At 49.9% G+C, this 20,512-nt stretch overlaps 2 protein-coding genes across 4 annotated transcripts in view, besides 5 other annotated features; one reads left to right on the top strand and one right to left on the bottom strand.

Annotated features, from left to right (window-relative positions):
• Positions 19–318: a silencer, noted in NCBI's record as "silent region_2950". NCBI's record gives its function as "represses an Ori minimal core promoter by ATAC-STARR-seq in GM12878 lymphoblastoid cells {active_cell/tissue: GM12878}" and the evidence as "EXISTENCE:reporter gene assay evidence [ECO:0000049][PMID:35858748]".
• Positions 19–1,110: a biological region, named in NCBI's record as "H3K27ac-H3K4me1 hESC enhancer GRCh37_chr10:133794606-133795530".
• Positions 186–1,110: an enhancer, noted in NCBI's record as "H3K27ac-H3K4me1 hESC enhancer chr10:133794606-133795530 (GRCh37/hg19 assembly coordinates)". NCBI's record gives its function as "activates a minimal SCP1, AML or CMV promoter by ChIP-STARR-seq in naive H9 embryonic stem cells {active_cell/tissue: H9 hESC(naive)}" and the evidence as "EXISTENCE:reporter gene assay evidence [ECO:0000049][PMID:30033119]".
• Positions 289–14,528, top strand: BNIP3 (BCL2 interacting protein 3). The gene is made up of 6 exons (NM_004052.4): positions 289–451; positions 8,269–8,419; positions 9,094–9,178; positions 11,242–11,348; positions 11,425–11,574; positions 13,643–14,528. Exons 1-6 carry the CDS (start codon positions 406–408, stop codon positions 13,686–13,688), a joined length of 585 nt encoding a protein of 194 aa, NP_004043.4. The 5' UTR covers positions 289–405; the 3' UTR covers positions 13,689–14,528.
• Positions 549–778: a silencer, noted in NCBI's record as "silent region_2949". NCBI's record gives its function as "represses an Ori minimal core promoter by ATAC-STARR-seq in GM12878 lymphoblastoid cells {active_cell/tissue: GM12878}" and the evidence as "EXISTENCE:reporter gene assay evidence [ECO:0000049][PMID:35858748]".
• Positions 9,075–9,945: an enhancer, noted in NCBI's record as "H3K4me1 hESC enhancer chr10:133785771-133786641 (GRCh37/hg19 assembly coordinates)". NCBI's record gives its function as "activates a minimal SCP1, AML or CMV promoter by ChIP-STARR-seq in naive H9 embryonic stem cells {active_cell/tissue: H9 hESC(naive)}" and the evidence as "EXISTENCE:reporter gene assay evidence [ECO:0000049][PMID:30033119]".
• The window catches only part of PPP2R2D (protein phosphatase 2 regulatory subunit Bdelta), a 70,526-nt gene continuing 60,692 nt past the window's right edge, over positions 10,679–20,512 (bottom strand). For 2 of the 3 annotated variants that reach the window (XM_006717914.4, XM_047425473.1), the window contains one exon: positions 10,679–12,585. In XM_006717914.4, coding sequence (XP_006717977.1) covers positions 12,558–12,585 — 28 coding nt within the window. In that variant the 3' untranslated portion in view covers positions 10,679–12,557. Of the gene's footprint in view, positions 12,586–15,883; positions 16,054–20,512 lie in introns of those variants that run through there. The other variant, XM_047425474.1, reaches the window with a different exon arrangement.

The following is a 20,512-nucleotide window of genomic DNA, read 5'->3' as shown; positions in this document are numbered from 1 at the left end:
CCCGCGGCGTCCAGCCCGGGCCGGCTCACCTCAGGCGGTCGCTGCCGCCCTCGCGCCTGCGCGCCCCTCGCCCCGCCCCTCTCCCCGCCCGCGTCCCGCGCACCGCAGGCCTCTGCCCCTCGCCCACCGCAGGACCCGCCCCGCGCACGCGCCGCACGTGCCACACGCACCCCACGCCCCTGCGCACGCGCAGGCCCCAAGTCGCGGCCAATGGGCGACGCGGCCGCAGATCCGCCCGGCCCCGCCCTGCCCTGTGAGTTCCTCCGGCCGGGCTGCGGGGCTCCGCTCAGTCCGGGAGCGCAGCTGGGCCGCGGCGCTCCGACCTCCGCTTTCCCACCGCCCGCAGCTGAAGCACATCCCGCAGCCCGGCGCGGACTCCGATCGCCGCAGTTGCCCTCTGGCGCCATGTCGCAGAACGGAGCGCCCGGGATGCAGGAGGAGAGCCTGCAGGGTGAGGCGGAGGAGGCGGCGCGGGAGCCGAGGGGGCGCGGGGGGGAAGCCTGGGGAAGGCCAAGAGGGCGCCAAGGGGAGGTTGCCGGGGAGGCCTAGGGGGCATCGCGGGCCGGGCGAGGCTGCGCCATCCTCCCCTTCCGTACCCACCCCTCCTGCGGGCATGCGGAGCCCGGGGCGTGGGGACCCCGCGTACTGCCCGGGGTTCGCGGCCTCGCCACTCGGGCGGGGGTTGGCTTGGACCCGGGTCGGACCGCACGGGAAAGCCCCGATTCTCCAGCTCCGCGCGAGCTAGAATTCCACCTGGAGGTGAATCTGCGTCTCGCAGTTGGACCGAACAGCCTCAAAGTCCACGTTGCCCTCCGCGGTCTGTAGTTCAGACCAGTATTGGTTTTAATGACCAAACACCAAGGCGTGGCAAGTGGCCTGTTATGAGCTTTAATTTTGTTATTAATGTTTATATCCATGGTGACTGTTAGGATTTCCTCAAGGGTGAACGCGGAGATGGGAGGGGGTTACAGCGTTTTTAAAATATGGCATTAAATGGGCATGTTCCAATTTCACTAGAGGGTCGTTCCAAAACAAAGCTTTAAATGACTTACGGGTTAAGAAAACACAAGCAAAAGGACGCTGCCCGTGCAGCACTCAGTCGTTACAGCCTGCCTAATGCCCGAGTAGAGGCTCGCTGTGTGCCCTTGGCTAGATTCGCAAGACCATCCGTTCACGCAGCGGGAAACGCAGGCCCGGGGTGCAGGACTTGCCCCACGCACAGCCGGGTGGCGTGGAGACCCACCCCACCCGGTGGGTCCGCGTCAGAGTCCAGACGAGCCTTTGCTCAGGGAAGCGGGCACTGAAGCCGCCTTCCCAGGGTCCCTAGGGCCAAAGCCTCGGAGGAGGGACCTGGTGGCAGCTGACCTTTGTGTTCTTTGAAGCCAGAGTTTACTAAGCAAAATTAGCATGTAAATAAGCTTGGGAAAGGACTGCTGAAACCTCTGACAGTGAACTTTTAATCTTCATTGAGAGTTTTTAAAACCATATATTCACATAAATTTAGTGAGTTGCTAATTTTATTACAAAAAAAAAGATTTTACTAGGCAGGACTTAGTTACCGTAATATATTGAATAATATATATATATACATATGAACACTACAAGCTTTTTTTTTTTACCTTTTTTTTTTTTTAAGAGACGGGGTCTCACTGTGTTGCCCAGGCTGGTCTGAACTGGGCTCAAGCGATCCTCCCGCCTCGGCCTCCCAAAGTGCTGGGATTATAGGCCTGAGCCACCAGGCGCGCCTGGCCTAAAACCATATTCTTTAAAATCCTGTAATTCGGATTTTTCCTCTTGAAATTTAAACATTGGCTAATTACTATTTTGAAATAGATTAAGAGGTGTTTTCCTATCTTTTGTCATAAAATAAAGTCCAAGGGATGTTTTTATAAACTCTTTGCCATAAAATCACCCATTTTCCGGTTGTGAAGCCGCGTTACTCCTGACATTGTGCGTTTCACTGTCCGGCTGGGATCTGGGCGCTGGGAGGTGGAGGGGGCTCCGGGGGGCTCGGTCCTCTCTCCAATATGTAACTTACACAGGCTGCTGAGTCATTGGCAGTGCAAGGCGGCCAGCGCCGGAGTTACGAGATTTTTGTTTTTCTGTTTTGTTTATTCTATAAAAAGATAGTTACCCGCGGGGTGGATCCCATGTAGGCGATTCCTTGGGCCGCCCTGAGTGTCCGCGCGGCAGGACGGGGCCACTGTGGGCTCGGCGTGGGCGGGGTTGGCCGGTCCCGCGGGCTCCAGCTGCCTGCAAATCCGGGACGGAGCGGTGGCTCAGGCAGCGCTCACCTCTGCCTGTCCGATTTCACTGCCCCTTGTTGACCTCGGAACAGAGAACAATGGGAGCCTTGCAGCCAGACCCACGGATGGAAGCAGCAAGCACTCTCTCCTCTGAGTGTACCCTCTGGGGCCAACTGCTTTTCCTAAAGAGTTAATGGCAAAATGGGCTGATTCTGTTCCTTTCTATCTCTTGATCATTCTAGCTAAAGTTGTTGACTCGCAGGATGCTCGTATTTGTCCTTTTCCTTTTTTTTACAAGCCCAGTCTTACTCCCCCAGGCTGGAGTGCAGTAGCACAATCATTATAGCTCACTGTAGCCATGAACTTGGCCCTTTTCTCCTAGACATGTCACTGCTAACATGCAGGAGAGGTAGGATTCTGTGACGAGACCGTGTCACGGTGGCGGGGGCATCACTTCCTTGAAGGACCCACTGTCTTCACCAGGAGGGCATCAGTTCAGTAAAGTGCATGCCCATTTACTCTGGAGGGCCGTGTTTAATAATCCAAGCCCTCACCTCTTCACCCACTGCTGTGTCTGCAACTGGCAGATGGTTCTCTCTCTTGTCAGAGGCAACTCACCATGGGCAAAGTTGTATGAGGGGAAAAGATGTTTTCTACTTATTTTGGAGTGGAGTTGTAGCATTGTGTGCTTTGAGACCTGAAGGGGTTGCAGACATCGAGATTCTCGTCCAAGACTTGCATTTCATAGATGGTCACAATGAGGTTCTAGAGGTGGAGTGAAAGATAAGGCTGGCAACAACACTTAAGGAGAAGCCAAGGTCTCTGCATGAGGCAGCAGTGGGATACCTGGAGCCCAGATGCCTGAGGCTGCGTGCAATAGGCCCTGGAGGGTCCTGGAGGAGAGGAGGCCAGAGGTCCTGGAGGCAACAGGAAGGTGGAGGGAAACGAGCCCCGTTGGAAGCCAGGGACCTGATTTACCTACCCAGCTGACTTGATACTTGAAATCTTTTGTCAGGCGGGTCTCTTTTGTTCTCTCCCCACTAACCTGAGAAGCTTTAAAGGTAAAACAGCAATTTCTTAGAGCCCACCTCCCCTGGGGAAGAAGCCCTTTGTATGGTTTTGGGGTGCTAGTTCCCTCGGGGGTTCACAGCTCCTCTGCTTCAGGTTTTTTTTCTGGGATGCTGCCTCCCTCTGTTCTGACATTTATCCCAGAGCTTTTTCAATCTATTTGCCTGGATTCCACCCCAGCATCCCAAATAGTCACTTTCAGAGTGGGCTGAGGCTAGGCTTTTGGAGAACAATGAAAAAACACCACAGGTGATTCTCCCTTCATAGCCAGAGTTGAGGTTGTCACCCCAGGTTAGGGCATAGGGTGGCCTTGAGAACTTGGCCCTGTGTTTACTCCACGTGGGGCTCGTGGCTGTGGCCCATGAATCCATGTTGAGGAATGGGACCCAGGGAGTTGCCCTGGGACATACAGAGGGCAGTGAATCGAAGGGATTCCCTGGAGTCTGTCACTGGAGGGAGAACTGCTTTGGGCACCTAGAAAAGCTGGATGTCAGATGATTTTTTTTTTTTTTTTTTACACAAAGTGAGAATAAGAAATGGATTAAGAACTCTTGTTGGACTGTATTTTGTCTCTGAGGCAGACCTATCAGTTTTCTTTTTGTACTGTGATATAAATATTTATAGTCTAGGCTTTTCAAAATCTCATCTACCTTGATATAGGAGGGAGGTAAGATTTACTGGCTGTGTGTCTTGTTAGCAATGTAAATTATAAGTGAGTGAGGAGGGGGAGGAACATGAGAGGGACGCGAAATGAGATTAGGAAGGAGGGCTTTTCTTGCAGCAGCAACAGCAGCACCTTTCCGTCTGGGGCCTAATTATACTACAGTGATTTGAAGTGTAAACTGCTTGTGATTATGAGCAAGTTTTCTAAGGTTATTAAGCAACCTTACTGTAAGCCCATCTTTCTTTGAAAAGGTGAACGATCCGAGTGGAGAACTGTAACACGTGAGTAGATACACAGCACGCTCCATTCTCCAGGAAGTGCCTTCCTTTCCTACGCGGTTGCTGTGGGTTAATAATAAAACTCCTGTCCCTTAGTAAATCATTCCTGGGAATACAGCTTTTGGGCCCAAAGTCATTAGCCATGGACAATCTGGAGTGAGTTTTTTTTCCTTGTTTCCTGGATTTTTAGGTCCTTTCTGGGGTGATGTTTAAAAAGCACTGCTTTGGTTCGAATGTGTTCCTCCATGTTGCCAGTGGGATGGTAGTAAAAGGTGGGCCTTTAAGAGGTGGCTCGGCCATAGGGGCTCCTCTCTAGTGAATGGGATTAGTGCTCTAAGGGGCTGGATGGAGGGAGGTGGGTCCCTCTGTAGCCTCATTGAAGGGATGAGGCAGGAAGGCCCTCAGCCGACACCAGATGTTGGTGCGTGGATCTTGGACTTCCCAGCCTCCAGAACAGAGATCAGTTTCTGTTCGTAAATCACTAAGTCTGTGGGATTCTGTTGCAGTAGCGCAGAGGATGACAGAGATACACTTGTCTCTCCTTCATCTTCCTCTCCCTGTTGTCTTCAGCCTGCCCCTTGTGTGATAGATTACAGTATGTGTTTGGTCTTGACCCTACCTACTTCCTGGTGCAGAGCACCTAAACCCCTGGGGCTTCCTGAGCAGTGTCTTTTTTTTTTGTTTGAGACACAGAGTTTCGCTATTGTTGCCCAGGCTGGGGGGCAGTGGCATGATCTCGGCTCACTGCAACCTCCCCCTCTCAGGTTCAAGGGATTCTTCTGCCTCAGCTTCCCGAGTAGCTGGGATTACAGGCGCCCACCACGCCCAGCTAATTTTGTATTTTTAGTAGAGACGGGGTTTCACCATGTTGGTCAGGCTGGTCTCTGACTCCTGACCTCAGATGATCTGCCCGCCTCGGCCTCCCAAAGTGCTGGGATTACAGGCATGAACCGCTGTGCCAATAAGTGTCTTAAGCATGTTTATTAAAGAAAGTAAAACAGTAAAAAGATGGTGACTCCATAGGCAGAACAACCTGACCAGTGTGTGCGTTATTCATAAAGTCACCCTATTAGCAGTGTACTCCAAAAGTGCTCCTTGGTTAACCATTTTTGGTGTAAGTTGTAAGGAGCCCCTTCAGAATACACTGCTAATACAGTGGCTCAAGGGTGGCCCCAGGATAGTTACTTGAGGTAGAAATTCCCAGGGCAGCCCCTCCTAGGAGGGGAGGGGACTGGAGATGGAGATGGGGGAGCCATGAGGTGCGGGTAGCATGGTTGGGGTTAGGGTTGGGACATGTGGGGTAAGTGGGAGTCTGGTTGCAGAGAGTGTGGTTGGGGTTAGGGTTGGGACGTGTGGGGTAGGTGGGGATCTGGGCTGTATGTCATTTCCATTTGTCTGCCCTGGAATTGTTTCTGGTAAACTGATAAATGTAAGTAAAGAGTTTTTCTGAGTTCTGTGAATTGTAGTAAATTACTGAACCTGAGGCAGGTGTGTGGGATCCCCTGAGTAGGTAGAGGCACTGGCAGAAATACGGGTAACCTGGACACCCCATTCTCTGCTTGCATCTGTGGGAACAGTCTTGTGGGCTCCACACTAAGTCTAGGTAGATAGAATGGAATTGAATCGTTGGACACCCCGGTGGTGGTGACTTGGTGTCCCACATTTGATGTTAAGAGTGGCATCAGAGAAGAGACACCACACCTTCAAGTTGCATTTGTGTTCCATATCGTCAGATAGCTGAACAACACTTTAGTCAAGTAAATTGAAGCAGGCCCAGAATCTGAATACTGTAGATTCAGCGGAGAAAGACAGCTGGCCAAAACAGAGGCTGTGGTGCCGTTCTCTCAGGGGCAGGCCATGGCTAGCCGGCCGCATGGCATCTTGAACCGCAGAGAGGGAAGGAGGGCTAGTGAACATCAGAGTACTTGGCAATACTGTCTGGTCAGATGAGCGGCTTCAGGAATGGTGTGGTCTGTACATCTCAGAAGGCACCATGTAGCCTCTGCCAGAGTGTGGGGCAGACTGGCCTGGGCCTTTCTCCTCCATTGAGCTCCAGGCTCCGAGACAGACCCTGGCTTGCCTTTGTATTAGGGATGTGCTTCGTGTAGGCCAGGACATGAGGCAACGTGAGAGGCCAAAGAGAACAATCATGCGTTCATTTGAAAATTTGTGTGATCATTTCGTTAGCAGCTTACTGGGAGACTGTTGATGGCATAAGTTGCAAATCCACTTTTCCTTCCTGGGCCTTCGGTTTGCTTTTTTCTGGTTAATATGAAATAGACTCTGCAACAAGTGGCGTATGGAGCCTAGGCCAGCCCTCTTTCAGGAGAGATGCCTCGTGTGTGTGGAAAGCTGTGCACCTGCCTTTGCTTCCAGCGAACATGACGGATGAAGAGGCTGCTCCTTTCCCCCTAATTGCATGGTGTTATTAGTGCTGTGTTGGTTTAAGGACAGTCAGCAGCTCAGGGTGATTATTCTGCTTACTAAAATTATAGTGACTGCAAAAATGAGATAATTCCATTGTTCTCGTCCATAAGTTTCCCTGTCTTTTGTGGCCTGCACTTTCCTCCCACTGCACTCCATCCTCCATACGCTACCAGAGGAAGCTCCTACCAGATTTGCTTTAAATAAATAAACCTATGACACAAAGTAGAGAGATTATCTGGGGCCCAGAAATAGACGTGTGCCTATATGCACGCTTGATTTCTGACACAGGAAGCAGCCAGCGCAGAGTGAGGCGGGAGCTGTCTGCAGTAAATGGGGCATCCGTCTCACATCAATGGGAAAATTAATCCATGTAGATTTTGGATCTAAATGTGACTGTCATAACAGTAGAGCTGTGTGAAAATAATAGAATAGAATATCTCAGCTCAGGAAGGGATTGCTGCATTTGACTGAATTAAAATCAAGAACTTCTGTACATCAGAAGACATCAGAAGTGAAAAGAACAAGCTACCGAGGGAAAGTTACTTGCAACATATTTAAATGCAGAAAAACATATATCTAGAATACAGAATTATCCCAGAATTGCACTTTTAGCAGTAAGGGAACGGGAGCAGCGTTCCAGCCTCAGTTTCTATTTATAATGGTGACATGGAAAAAATACTGCTGGATGCCCACAAATAAGAGAAAGACAGATAATAGAAAAGAATAAGAGATTCGAAGAACCAGTTCAAAAAAGATGCTATCCAGATGGCTAGCAAACTTGTAAAACCGTCTTCAACCTCGTTAGAAATTATATAAATGCAAAGTAAGCCACACGATGCAAGTCATAGAGGCTGGGCATGGTGGCTCACGCCTGTAATCCCAGCACACTGGGAAGCTGAGGTGAGAGGACTGCTTGGGCCCAGAAGTTCGAGACTAGCCTGGGCAATATAGCGAGACCCCATCTCCTAAAAAAAATAGCCAGGAGTAGTGGTGCATGCCTGTAGTTCCAGTTATTCCGGAGGTGTCAGCTAGAGGATGGCCTGAACCCAGGAGTTTGAGATTATAGTGAGCCTTCATCGTGCCACTGCACCCCAGCCTGGGTGACAAAGCGAGACTCCGTCTCGAAAAGAAACAAAAAATAGAGCTTAAACCTTTTAAAGAAAACTTCAAATCCCTTAAGCTTATGTTGACATTAGTGTTGTTGTTGTTTTTTTTAAAGACCTCTTTTTCCAAATAATAGCCTTTTTCTTATAAAAGCTCACTGCAAGGAAGTATTCTAATTGGATTCTGTTGACTCAGCAGAGTTATTGGACATTGGCTTGGTATAAAGGGACTGCAAGAGCTGGACAGATACATGGTCTCAGCCCCAGGGGGCTTCCTTCCTGTACCCAGGGAGTGTGTGCGTGGACAGTCACTGCCATGAGAGTGGGCAGAGGGATGTCTTCAAGTCGGGGTTGAGGGATGGTTCCTGGTGTGGCACCATTGCTACCTCTTGGAAATGGAAGGGCAGGCTGGTTAGATATCAAGAGCAGATTCCAGAGTGGGTAGAGAATTCCATCTGCGCCCCTTTTTTTGTCCCCATCAGGCTCCTGGGTAGAACTGCACTTCAGCAATAATGGGAACGGGGGCAGCGTTCCAGCCTCGGTTTCTATTTATAATGGAGACATGGAAAAAATACTGCTGGACGCACAGCATGAGTCTGGACGGAGTAGCTCCAAGAGCTCTCACTGTGACAGGTAGGCGCGCATCAACAAGTGTATGTGTTACAGTGCCGATGTCTTCAGTGGGTGACAGTCACAGCTGGAAGTGCCCGTGTCACCTCTAGGACAGTGGGCTGCTGTTCGCCTCGGGCCGCGTTCTGGACTGGCTCCTGCTGCAGTCCGTCCTTATATAGGAGCCTCGCCCTCTTTGGGGATGCAGTGACCTGGGACTTAGTCTGTGGGGAGCCATGTTCAAGTCATCAGTAGGCAGCGGAACAGCCACAAACCCCACTCTGAGAAACGCACTCACGCGCCTCAGCGGGGCTGTGGTCGCAGGAGGAGCGGTCCCTGGTTAGCAGTACTTCTGAGTGACTCCAAGGTAGAGTGGCCGACAGTGGTCAAAGGTCGCGTGCCCTTGAGAGCTGTGCAACAGACCCAGACCGTGAAGGCGGCAGGTGACAAAGCCAGCTGCTTGCCAGTTGCCCCTGCGTCTTCTCTGGAAGACTGGCTAGCTCACTCCTGTCGTGCTCAGCCAAAAGGGCTGAGGAAGAGTTTGGCTCTGGCAGGTGCTGGGTGGAAGGGAAGACGCGTACGCTGACTGGCTAGAGCCCCTCATCACGGAGGCGGTTCACTGCCTTTGGGGTTTGAGCTTCTAATGATAGAATGTTCACATGATGTTCTGTTTTTCCCATTCTATTCACATCGCCAAGCCCACCTCGCTCGCAGACACCACAAGATACCAACAGAGCTTCTGAAACAGATACCCATAGCATTGGAGAGAAAAACAGCTCACAGGTAAGCTGGAAGGAGAATGTGCAGTTGTAAAAGTATTTGTGATCTGTTTGTACAGGAAACGGTTTTAAATGTAATTGAGCACCTCAGAGAAAAGTCGGGCTTTAAGGGTGTTTCCTGCTTTAAAAAAAACAAAAAAGCGAAACAAAAAAACCAAGAAACTGTGGGTGGGAACATCCACAAGCACATGGGCTGGACACTCAGCTGAGCGGGGGAGGCGCCGAGTGGGACAGGCAGCGGGGGCCTCCTGTCCCTCCCTGCCTGCCATCAGGGATACACCGGAAAGGAGGAAGGGCTCCCTGGTGGCTGCAGCCTAGAGAGGAGGGAGGGACCATTGGAAGGGGTGGCAGTGAGCCAGCTACTGGCTGGTCTTTCCTCGTGGTTGCTGGTTGGACAGTGAGTGGGTTTTAATATTTGCATGCTGTGTGGGACTCAGGAGTTACCCACGGGGCCATCTAAGGCCATGTGGCCACTGTGGCTGTGACTCTGAGGTGTCTTCCTCATTAGACACTCACTACCTGCCGGAAATTACACCCTGTGCCTTTCCTAGCATTAGTCCTGAGCTAACTGGTGCCGGAGCAGTGTAGCATTAGCGGCTGATCAGCCTGATAATTTAGTGTAAGATCACTTTTTCTTCTTTTTTAAAAAAGTTTTTTTTGTAGAGACGGGGTCTCCCTGTGTTGCCCAGGGTGGTCTTGAACTCCAGGGCTCAAGTGATCCTCCCAAAATACTGGGACTATAGGTGTGAGATACTGTGTCCAGCCTAAGATGACTTTTCTGTTAACAGCTATTGAATGGGCTTTACAGAGCGGCCTTCAGCATTGTTGTGAAAGCGGAGTGAGTCTTAGAGGAAAAAGTGTACCTGGGGTTATTGCCTTGGTGTACTATCGTTCTCCCTTCCTACTCCGGCACAGATAGGGTTCGAGGCAGTGATCAGTACTGTCTTGCTCAGTTATATCTGGCAGTGCCTTACCTTGCTGCAGATGAGATGCGCGATGTGTTTTCTTGGGTGTTCGTTGCTGGTGAGAACTTTGACGACGGACTGTGTTCTGTATTTTGGAAGCTCTGTGAGGAAGCATGGCCTTCCAGGCAGGGTTAGTAGCTGACCCTTCCGTGCTAGCGCTTCCCTCAAGGCTTTCTTCACCAAGGAAACAAGGAGTCCCTGTTACCCAGGCTTTCTCAGGGACATCCCCTGGCCCCACTCCGAGGGGCAGCATGATTTCGGGAGCCCCAGGAGCCCTGGCTGTGGGTGTGTGGGTGCATCCAGGGCGTGCGGCCTGCTCCTGGGCACTTGGGGCTGTACCCAGCTTGGGTGTACCCAGATGTTTGGTGGGTTTGGGGAGCTATATTCTTGAGTATTTTCAATTTTATTTCTTTTTTTTTGAGACAGGGTCTTGCCGTTTTCACTGTTTTACACAAAACTTCCCCTAGTTTTAAAAGGAATTAGATGTTCAGGTACAGAATTTTGAAAATGCAAAAAAGTAGAGAAAAACACTTAGACTCTCAGATTTAAAATCCTCTTTAATGTTTCGTGCTGTTATATAATTCTGAGGATTTGGCCGCAGCTGTGGTTATGTGGACATTTCTGCCTTTTCCCTCCTGCTTATCCCGGAAGCATCTTGTAAACCTGCTCACTATACAGTGTCCCTTCCTTCGTCATGTCCCTGTTTTGAGCCGTTTTCGGCTGTTTTCATTTTCTTTTCTTATAACCAGTGCTGCCGTCACCATCTTTGCCCTCATGTCACGTGACTTCCCTAGGACAGTGTTTGCCGCTGTCAGTACCCCCAGAATCTCACAGTGAACCAAATGTATTTACGCCCTGAGTGGGGCTCCCCCAGAGGTGATCTGTCCCTGGAGGCGGCGAGCGTGCTGTGAGCCGGGAGTGCGGCGCGGCCCGGGGAAGGCCCCCAGCCCCAGGACTCCCCTTGGACCACGGTCCGAGGCACTGACATGTGCCTCTGGGCTCTTGAATTGAGCCTGCGGATCTGAAGCTCGGGTGGGAGCTGGGTGCTTTCCCGTGTCACGTGTGGTACACTGATCTGCCTTTAACATTGACTTTATCTTAGTCTGAGGAAGATGATATTGAAAGAAGGAAAGAAGTTGAAAGCATCTTGAAGAAAAACTCAGATTGGATATGGGATTGGTCAAGTCGGCCGGAAAATATTCCCCCCAAGTGAGTGTGTTCTCAGTGTCACGGGGGCACCCCTTGACAGAGGACACATCAGCTGACACGTTTCTTCCCGCCTCAGGGAGTTCCTCTTTAAACACCCGAAGCGCACGGCCACCCTCAGCATGAGGAACACGAGCGTCATGAAGAAAGGGGGCATATTCTCTGCAGAATTTCTGAAAGTTTTCCTTCCATCTCTGCTGCTCTCTCATTTGCTGGCCATCGGATTGGGGTAGGTGATGTGACTGTGTGACTCCTGTCATGGCATGTCGTGGGGCGATTCTGGGTTGCAGTGATTTATTCGTAACCTGTTTCCTGAAGTCCAGATCATCAGTTACAGCTTGGTGCATTTTCACAAACACCCACGTAGTCACTGTTCAGGTCCAGAAACCACCAGCCTGCAGCCCCCAAAGGCCCCAGCACAGGCGCCCTGTGGTGCTGCTGTCTGGCCTGACGAGTCTGCCTGTTGCTCACTGAATATAAACGGAGTCAAAGCAGGGCTTCTTAGGTCTGACCTCTTTGTCCTGTGTGTAGGTGAAAGCAGTCTCATTTCTGTGTAGTACTGTGGCGGGAATGCACCCAGCTCTGCTGTAGGTGGAGGGTCTCAGTTACCTGCTGTACTTCCTCCAGACAGGACTGTTGTTCTAGTAACTCTCAGCAATGAAGGAACCAATGCAGTCTCCGACTTTACTGGCTTGAGTTTCGCTCTTGTTGCCCAGGCTGAGTGCAGGGGCGTGATCTCGGCTCACTGCAGCCTCTGCCTCCTGGGTTCAAGCGACTCTCCTGCCTCAGCCTCCTGGGTAGCTGGGATTACAGGTGCCCACCACCAGGCCTGGCTAATTTTTGTATTTTTAATAGAGACGGGGCTTCGCCACGTTGCCCAGGCTGATCTCGAACTCAAGGGATGGCTCACCTCGGCCTCCAAAGTGCTGGGATTACAGGCGTGAGCCACCGCGCCTGGCCTTTCCTGGCTGCTTATACTCACTCACCCTGCAGAAAACACAGAGACCAGGCAGGCGCCGCTGTGGGTTCTGAAGAGCGTTCGCCGCAGCGGTGGTGAAGAGCCAGAGCGGGAAGCCAAAACGGCTCCTCCTCGGGCTGGTCCCAGCCTCTCAGCGGGGAGGAGGGCTCTAGTCCTGGCGTGCAGACAGTGTTCTGTGGCTGCCGTGTGTTGGACAGACTGGAAAGACCGGAATGCCACTGGGGGCAGGTGGGTTAGGTAGGTTGGCCAGAGGGCTCACATCTGGGGTTGAAGGAAACGGGATAAAAGCCACTGAGTTTCCTGGGCCGGGACCTGAGCGCTGCCCGTGTCTCCACCTCGCCCTCCCGTGTGCGTGGCTTTCTCCTAGCTCTTGGGCACATTCTCACGTCCCCCCCATAACCCGTCACCTTCATTTCTGCTGGTGCTTTTGGGAGTCAGACCTACAGACTGCATCAGCATCACCAGGCAGTTTGCTTTCTGGAGCCTTTTCCAGAACTGTCAAGCAGACTCTGGGGGCAAGGCCTCGGGATCCTCATTTTAAATACAAGGTTTAAGCCCTTCGTTTCAGGATGGATTTCTGCAGCCACTACTTCCCAGCTACTGTCCTTCGTCCTGCCCGGGTTTTCAGAGCCTGATGCTGCCACTGGCGACCCACACCCCCTCAGCTGCTTTTCAGAACCACACGATAAAATCTGCCCCGAAAGCTGCTGCAGCACTGTCTGCGCTCACAGTGCCCACCACACCACCGCCCACAGGCCAGGCCAGCCAGGCTTCCGATTCTGCCCTTTCCTGGAGACCCATCCTCCTCCCTCCGGGAGTGATGCCCGCTGGTCAGCTGGAGCGAGCCTCTCTATTGCCGAAAAGCCTTTTCTGACACTCCTGCATCTTTAGTTTGGGACATCTCTCCCACTACCAAACTTAAACCACATGAGGGCAGGGGCTTCATTTTTAAGCAGTTGGCTTTGGTGAGGCTGGTGGTGATGAACTAGCAACACCATCTTGCCCTGGTAGGTGACTTCCCCCAGCACTGAGTTGGAACAAAGCAGAAGCTTTCTGTGTGGAAACAGCATTCGGTTTGGTGATCCTTCTATGTAAGAATACGATCTGATGTTTTCTAAGTTAATTAATACAAAATACATATTGATAAAACACTAGATAAAAGATCACAGATAGATTCATTACAAAATTTTTATAATGGGTATAAAATCACCAGTCCCCTTGCATAAGCTCTAACCACAGTGAGCTACCCTGTTTCAGCTGTAACACAGTCTCCTGTGAATCACAAGATACATTAACTACTGATAATTTTTCTGTGAAGGATCTATATTGGAAGGCGTCTGACAACCTCCACCAGCACCTTTTGATGAAGAACTGGAGTCTGACTTGGTTCGTTAGTGGATTACTTCTGAGCTTGCAACATAGCTCACTGAAGAGCTGTTAGATCCTGGGGTGGCCACGTCACTTGTGTTTATTTGTTCTGTAAATGCTGCGTTCCTAATTTAGTAAAATAAAAGAATAGACACTAAAATCATGTTGATCTATAATTACACCTATGGGATCAATAAGCATGTCAGACTGATTAATGTCTACTGTGAAAATTTGGTAGTAAATTTTCATTTGATATTAGATATAAATATCTGAATATAAATAATTTTAATATACTAGTCATGATGTGTGTTGTATTTTAAAAATTATCTGCAACCTTAATTCAGCTGAAGTACTTTATATTTCAAAAGAATGAATAACATTGATAATAAAATCGCTACTTTAAGGGGTTTGTCCAAAATAAATATTGTGGCCTTATATATCACACTATTGTAGAAAGTATTATTTAATTTAAATGGATGCAGGTTGTCTACTAAAGAAAGATTATATATAACTATGCTAATTGTTCATAATCAACAGAAACCAAGATAGAGCTACAAACTCAGCTGTACAGTTCGTACACTAAACTCTTCTTGCTTTTGCATTATAAGGAATTAAGTCTCCGATTATTAGGTGATCACCCTGGATGATCAGTTTTCTGCTGAAGGCACCTACTCAGTATCTTTTCCTCTTTATCACTCTGCATTGGTGAATTTAATCCTCTCCTTTGTGTTCAACTTTTGTGTGCTTTTAAAATCAGCTTTATTCTAAGCAAATCTGTGTCTACTTTAAAAAACTGGAAATGGAAAAAAAAATAAATCTTTGCCAAATCCTTCAGATTACTGTATTTACATATGGTTTAAAATCAGACGTCATGATAGCTTCTTAATGAAACCAGGACTGGTCCCTATTTTGACATTATCTTTCCTACAGCAAACTTTTTAGAAAGGCTGCCTGCCGCCTTGATGTTTCACCTTTCCACGCTTAATTCGGGTGTTAAATCTAACGTTTTCATTTGTAAAAATCTTTGTTGATGCTACCTTGGAAGCAGTCATCTCTCAGTCTTACATTTGGAGAATGTGGATGGCATGACATCAGAATTCCTTTATATAATTTAACTTCAGAATAGTCTGAGATCATCGAAGCACGATGGTCAAGGGAATTCCGTTTTTGTTTTAGAGCAAATATGTTTGCTGTTTGTCTTTCATCACAAACATCAGTGGAGTTTCAGCACCTTACAGAGCTCAGTGAACCCCCTGGTCACCATCAAAGTTAGCACACAACAAAGCCAACCACGTGTCCCCCTCACAGATGACAATGGCTGAACTCTGAGTGAAACCACCTGTATGGCCGGGCACAGTGGCTCACGCCTGTAATCCCAGCACTTTGGGAGGTTGAGGTGGGTGGATCACCTGAAGTCAGAAGATTGGCCTGGCCAACATGATGAAACCCCGTCTCTAATAAAAATGCAAAAATTAGCTGGGCGCAGTGGCACGTGCCTGTAATCCCAGCTACTTGGGAGGCTGAGGCAGGAGAACCGCTGGAACCCAGAAGGCAGAGGTTGCAGTGAGTGGAGATCATGCCACTGCACTCCAGCCTGGGAGGGAGAACGAGACTCCATCTCAAAAAAAAAAAAAAAAACAACCAGTTGGAGGTACTAAGCTCTGGGACTGGGCCAGTGTGATGGCTCCACACCTGTAATCTCAACACTTTGGGAGGCTGAGGTAGGAGGATCACAAGTCCAGAAGTTCGAGACCAGCCTGGGGGAGCATAGCAAGACCCTGTCTCTACACAAAATACAAAAATTAGCCTCGTGTGGTGGCACACACCTGTAGCCCCAGCTACTTGGTAGACTGAGGCAGGAGGATCCCTTGAGCCCAGGAGTTCAAGGCTGCAGTGAGCCAGGATAGTGCACACGGCCTGAGCAAGAGCAAGACCCTGTTTCAGAAAAAACAACTCTGGGACTGGAGTGCTTTAGACAGATGGGAGACCAAGAATCAAGTTTTCTGGAGGTGTTTTTCGTTAGATTGTAACATTAGACATTTTATTAAAAATGAAACAAGTTTGATGTGTGTGCGTATCTGAATGTTTTTATCTTTGAGGTAGGATAATGGCAGTGTGCCTTCTGAATAGCTTCTGTAAATAACCCTTCTTTTCTACAGTGGTTAATACAAATAACTGCCCATAACACTCATTTTAATCATTAAGTTTATAAAATTAACATTAAGTGATTCTGATATAAAAACATTGGCCACTTGGCCACTATTTACCTGATATTTACTCTGATGCAGACATTTGCCCATACACATCTGCTTAGGGTGTGGAACGTGACGCCGACACGTTGCTTAGAAGGAATGCACATGGCTGCAAGAGAGAGGAGTCGGCAACACCTCAAAAAACTCCAGCCATGCATCTATGCTTTGGACACACAAACCACTTCTAGGAATTCACTCTGGAGACAGACCTAGAAACTTCTACATGCACATGCACAAGGATATAACTAAATACGCAGTATTTATTATAACATGATTGTATTAAAATATATGAAGCAACCGAGGTGCCCACGCATAGAGACTCGAGAGAACGACAGTGCTGCCCTGCAGGGCCGGTGCTTTGCCACTCATGCACCAAGGGGAAGAGCTCGCGATGAGAAGGGATTCCAGGGTATGTGAAGTAAAACACAGTGCAAAAATAGATGTCTCCCTAGCAGAAAGGAAAGAACATTTGGAAGCAGCTCCTTGAAACAGGAAACCTGTAGCAGTTTGAAGACAGCCCCCGGCCAGGCGCTGTGGCTCACGTCTGTAATCCCAGCACTTTGGGAGGCTGGGGCGGGTGGATTGCCTGGGCTCAGGAGTTCGCGATCAGCCTGGCCAACATGGTGAAACCCCGTCTCTACTAAAATACAAGAAAATTAGCTGGGTGTGGTGGCGTACCTGTAGTCCCAGCTACTTGGGAGGCTGAGGCAGAATTGCTTGAACCCGGGAGGTGGAGGTTGCAGTGAGCCAAAATCGTGCCACTGCACTCCAGCCTGGGCGACAGAGCGAGACTCTGTCTCAAAAAAATAAAAGCCCCCTAGTTTTTTTGACAGCCCTTAATGAGTGATGGGGGTCTGTGCCCCTTCAGCTCTGGACTGGCCAACAGGATAAGGAGGGAGTGATGCCAGTGGTGCAGCACCACTTTCTGGGCCCACCCAGCCTTAAGAAACCGGCAGCCGCCACTTCCTGTCTCTGCGGGTGCATGCTCTTGGCGCCCAGCCTCCGTGCTGGGAAGAAGCCACATTGCTCAGTAGAGAGGCCTGGTCAGATAGGATCCAGCAGCTAGCACCCCTGCCAGCCATGTGGCCCCCTCTGTGGATCCTCCAGTGCCAGGAGAGATGCCCTCGCTGACAGTCTGGAGCACAGATGAACTGAACCTGCTGAGCCCCGTCCAAACTGCAAATGGGAGGACAAAATACAGGATTATTTAAATATATATATAGTATACTTTATGTGAAAAAAGCTAAGAAAAACACATAACTGCTCATTTGTGCAAAAAAATTAGGGTGAATAAGGCAGAATTAAATGAGATTGGTTACCCCGGGGTGGAAAGAGGTGGAGATGGAAAACGGAAGAGGGTGGAAGGAGTGCAGCTTTTTGTGTAACAGACTTAGAACCACATTAATGCTTCAGATGCTGCCAAATTCAATGAATAACTGTTTTGGGGGGGAATCCCAAATGGAATACCTACAGTAAGGGAACCTCACTGTTATAAATAATAAAGCCATACTGAAGGGGTGGGCTGGTGAGCTAAAGGACCAGAGAACACCATTCGGGGTGGATACTGCAAGGTTAAAGTGACAAAAAAAAAAAAAAAAAAACATAGTAAACTCTTGCTAGTGAATTTGCTTTCCATGGGTTGGCAATCCTGAAACCACAGGCATATTAACACTGTGTGATGTTACACGTAATGACAGCCTGATTTCCCACTGCTGGACAGTCACAAGGAAGGCTAGCACGAAGCCGTGGGCTTGCTGGGTTTGGGTTAGCAGTGAGTCGCGGTTTGAGCCGGAGCTGTGCATGGGGGAGTGTGTCTTTCCAAGTGCCACTCAACAAAAGGGCCTGGAAGCAATGATCCTCCAACAGCTGTGTGCACGGCCAGCCCTGGGTCCCGGTGGTGGTGACGGTTATTTGTCTCAAAAACAAAACAAAAAAAAAACACAAAGTCACCATTAGGCAAATACCAATAACTGCTGATTCGTCGACGGAAACTAAAGTTAGTGGGTTCTTGAGAGGATATTCTCATTGTGTCCCCGCAAGATACTCATTACACCAAAGAAAACAGTAACTCTACAGTGAAGAGACCTGGTAGACACCACCTACATCCTGATTTGATGCAGAGGAGGCCAGATCTCTTCCGTGTTCTTGCCAGAATGCATAATTGCAGTTTAATCACGAGAAAATATCAGGCAAACCAAAATTGAGGGGGAGTCTACAAAATGCCTGCCCACACTTCCCAAGTGCTCGGGTCCTGAAAGACTGCAGCAGAGACTGGAAGGCAGGGAGACAACGAAATACAACGTGGGCGCTTTGGGAGGGCCCTGGACAGGAAAAACCGACACTCGTGAGACAGCCAGGCAGGTGCCAAGGCAGGTGCAGGTGAGGCCACTAGCCCTGCACGGTGTGAGTCCCCATGAGGCTGCAGGACACACCATTGTTAGGGGGCTGGGTGAAGGCTGCAGGATTTCCAAAACCTGTTCAAAATTATTCAAAGTACAACGCTAAGAAGGAAAATAAATAGAAGATACCTTTTTACTAAAAAAGAAAAAAAAAGTGTGGTCCCTGGACTGGGGTGTCAGCGCGCTGCCTGGGGGCTTGTTAGAAAGGCAGAGCCTCAGCGCACAGCCCTGTGGCGTCAGAAGCCGCGTCCGACGTGTGGCAATGCCACCGTGCAGCAGCCAGTGAGGCTCCACGGACGGTGTGGACAGCCCGCCCAGACGCGCGCAGTGAGGACAGCCAGGCGCCCCACGGCATGCACAGGATGCTACCCGATGTGTAGAAACGGGAAACAGGAGTGAATCTTATTTGTGTTTGTATAAAAACTGGAAGTAACCCCCCAAGAAACAAGTATCCAAAATGATCCAGGGGGCCAGAGGCAAGGGCAAGACTTTGTCACCTCCTCTGGGGACTTGTGAACGCTGTACGTATGACCAGTTCACAGCTTCTTTAAGAAAAAACACTTCTAGTAAGAACCAGGGTTACACTGTGTTCAGATATTTAGGTTTGGATAACAAATTTCCCCTGAAAGTTCTTGGAATCATAAATTAGTGTTTCCCATCCTCCTGGAACAGACACACTTAAAAAGACATCCCAACCTTTTTTTGAGATGGAGTCTCACTCTGTCGCCTAGGCTGGAGTACAGCGACACAATCTCGGCTCACTGCAACCTCCGCCTCCTGGGTTCAAGTGATTGTCCTGCCTCAGCCTCCCAAGTAGCCGGGATTACAAGCGTCCGCCACCACATCTGGCTAAATTTTTTGTATTTTTAGTAGAGACGGGGTTTCACTATGATGGCCAGGCTGGTCTTGAACTCCTGACCTCGTGATCCGCCCACCTCAGCTTCCCAAAGTGCTGGGATTACAGGCGTGAGCCACCATGCCTAGCCCCAAAGATAATTTTCTAACAACTCCAAGGCAAGCAGACGGAGCTCTATCTGGACCTCTGATCGGCGGAAGTGCAGCCACCTCTCTGCCTTGGCTGGGCTGCGGTTGGGGGTGGAGCCCAGCAGGCAGTCACGTGGTCTGGGCCTGGCCATCTGCGGGGTTGGTGCCCAGTGCAGGCAGCCCCTGCCAGTTCTGACTGGGTGGTGCCAGTGTTTTGTTTTTGCATCTACACACCAGCGATGGACGGTCCCTGCAAATCTGCAAGGGACCCAGTCTCCAGCTGAGTTTCAGGTCCAGGAACACAGCCTGTTAGAAACGTCCAAGACACGTCCCAAGGATAAGAAGAAAATGGAGAGCTACAGAGCCTAAGACAATGGGAGTTGCAGAATCGAAAACTATTACTATCAGAAGCATTTCCCAGCCACCAAAAGGAAAATGAAAACGGAACGTGACTTTAACCACTCACCAGATGGAGACTGTGATTATTAAAGAAATCACAGGTTTCGCCTCTTTGCAATCTGCATCTGGTGAGTGAGTGAAGGTGACCGCGTGGAGCTGGAGAGCTTTCTTAGGACTGGACCGCCCCTCACCCCAAACCTGTTTCCCGTGCGTGATGATGACTTCACGAAACGCGGTTTCAGTTCTAACCTCAGCATTCCACTGTCGGGGATCCTGGCCACTGCGAGCCCCGCTGCTCGATTTGGTGTCATCACCGGGCAGCTAGTCTTGTATTTTAAGACACCAGTTTCTGTTATATTAAGAAATACACTAAAAAGGTTCTGATTGGAGATATTTATACAAAATCATCGTACAGGCCAGCCTCAGAAGCAGAGTCCCGGGCACCGGTGCTCCCCGGAGGGCAGTGCCGCCCCCTGGCCAGCTGCCTTGCTGGGCTCTCACTTCCAAAACCCCCGCGGGTTCTGACTGGCACAGGGGTGTGTTTATTCAGGAAATGCGTGCAGGAACTCAGGCGGAGGCGCATGAAATTAGGGACAGATGGGAGCAGATGGGGTGGGAGACTGTCAGTCCTTAAGATAATGTAAAAAAAAAAAACCCTGGAGGACATCAAGTGTGGGTTCCCGTCCTGGGTATGACACCACCACCTGCCCTGGCCAGAGGCAAGTCGCAGCCGCTGTGCCCTTGGGACTGGGTGCTGGCGCCAGAGCACACAAGGCGGAAGGTGAG

This window comes from Homo sapiens, chromosome 10 (genome assembly GCF_000001405.40).
Source record: "Homo sapiens chromosome 10, GRCh38.p14 Primary Assembly".
Lineage (NCBI taxonomy): Eukaryota > Metazoa > Chordata > Mammalia > Primates > Hominidae > Homo > Homo sapiens.
Note: the sequence above shows the minus strand (reverse complement) of the source record. Positions and strands in the feature narration are given on the sequence as shown.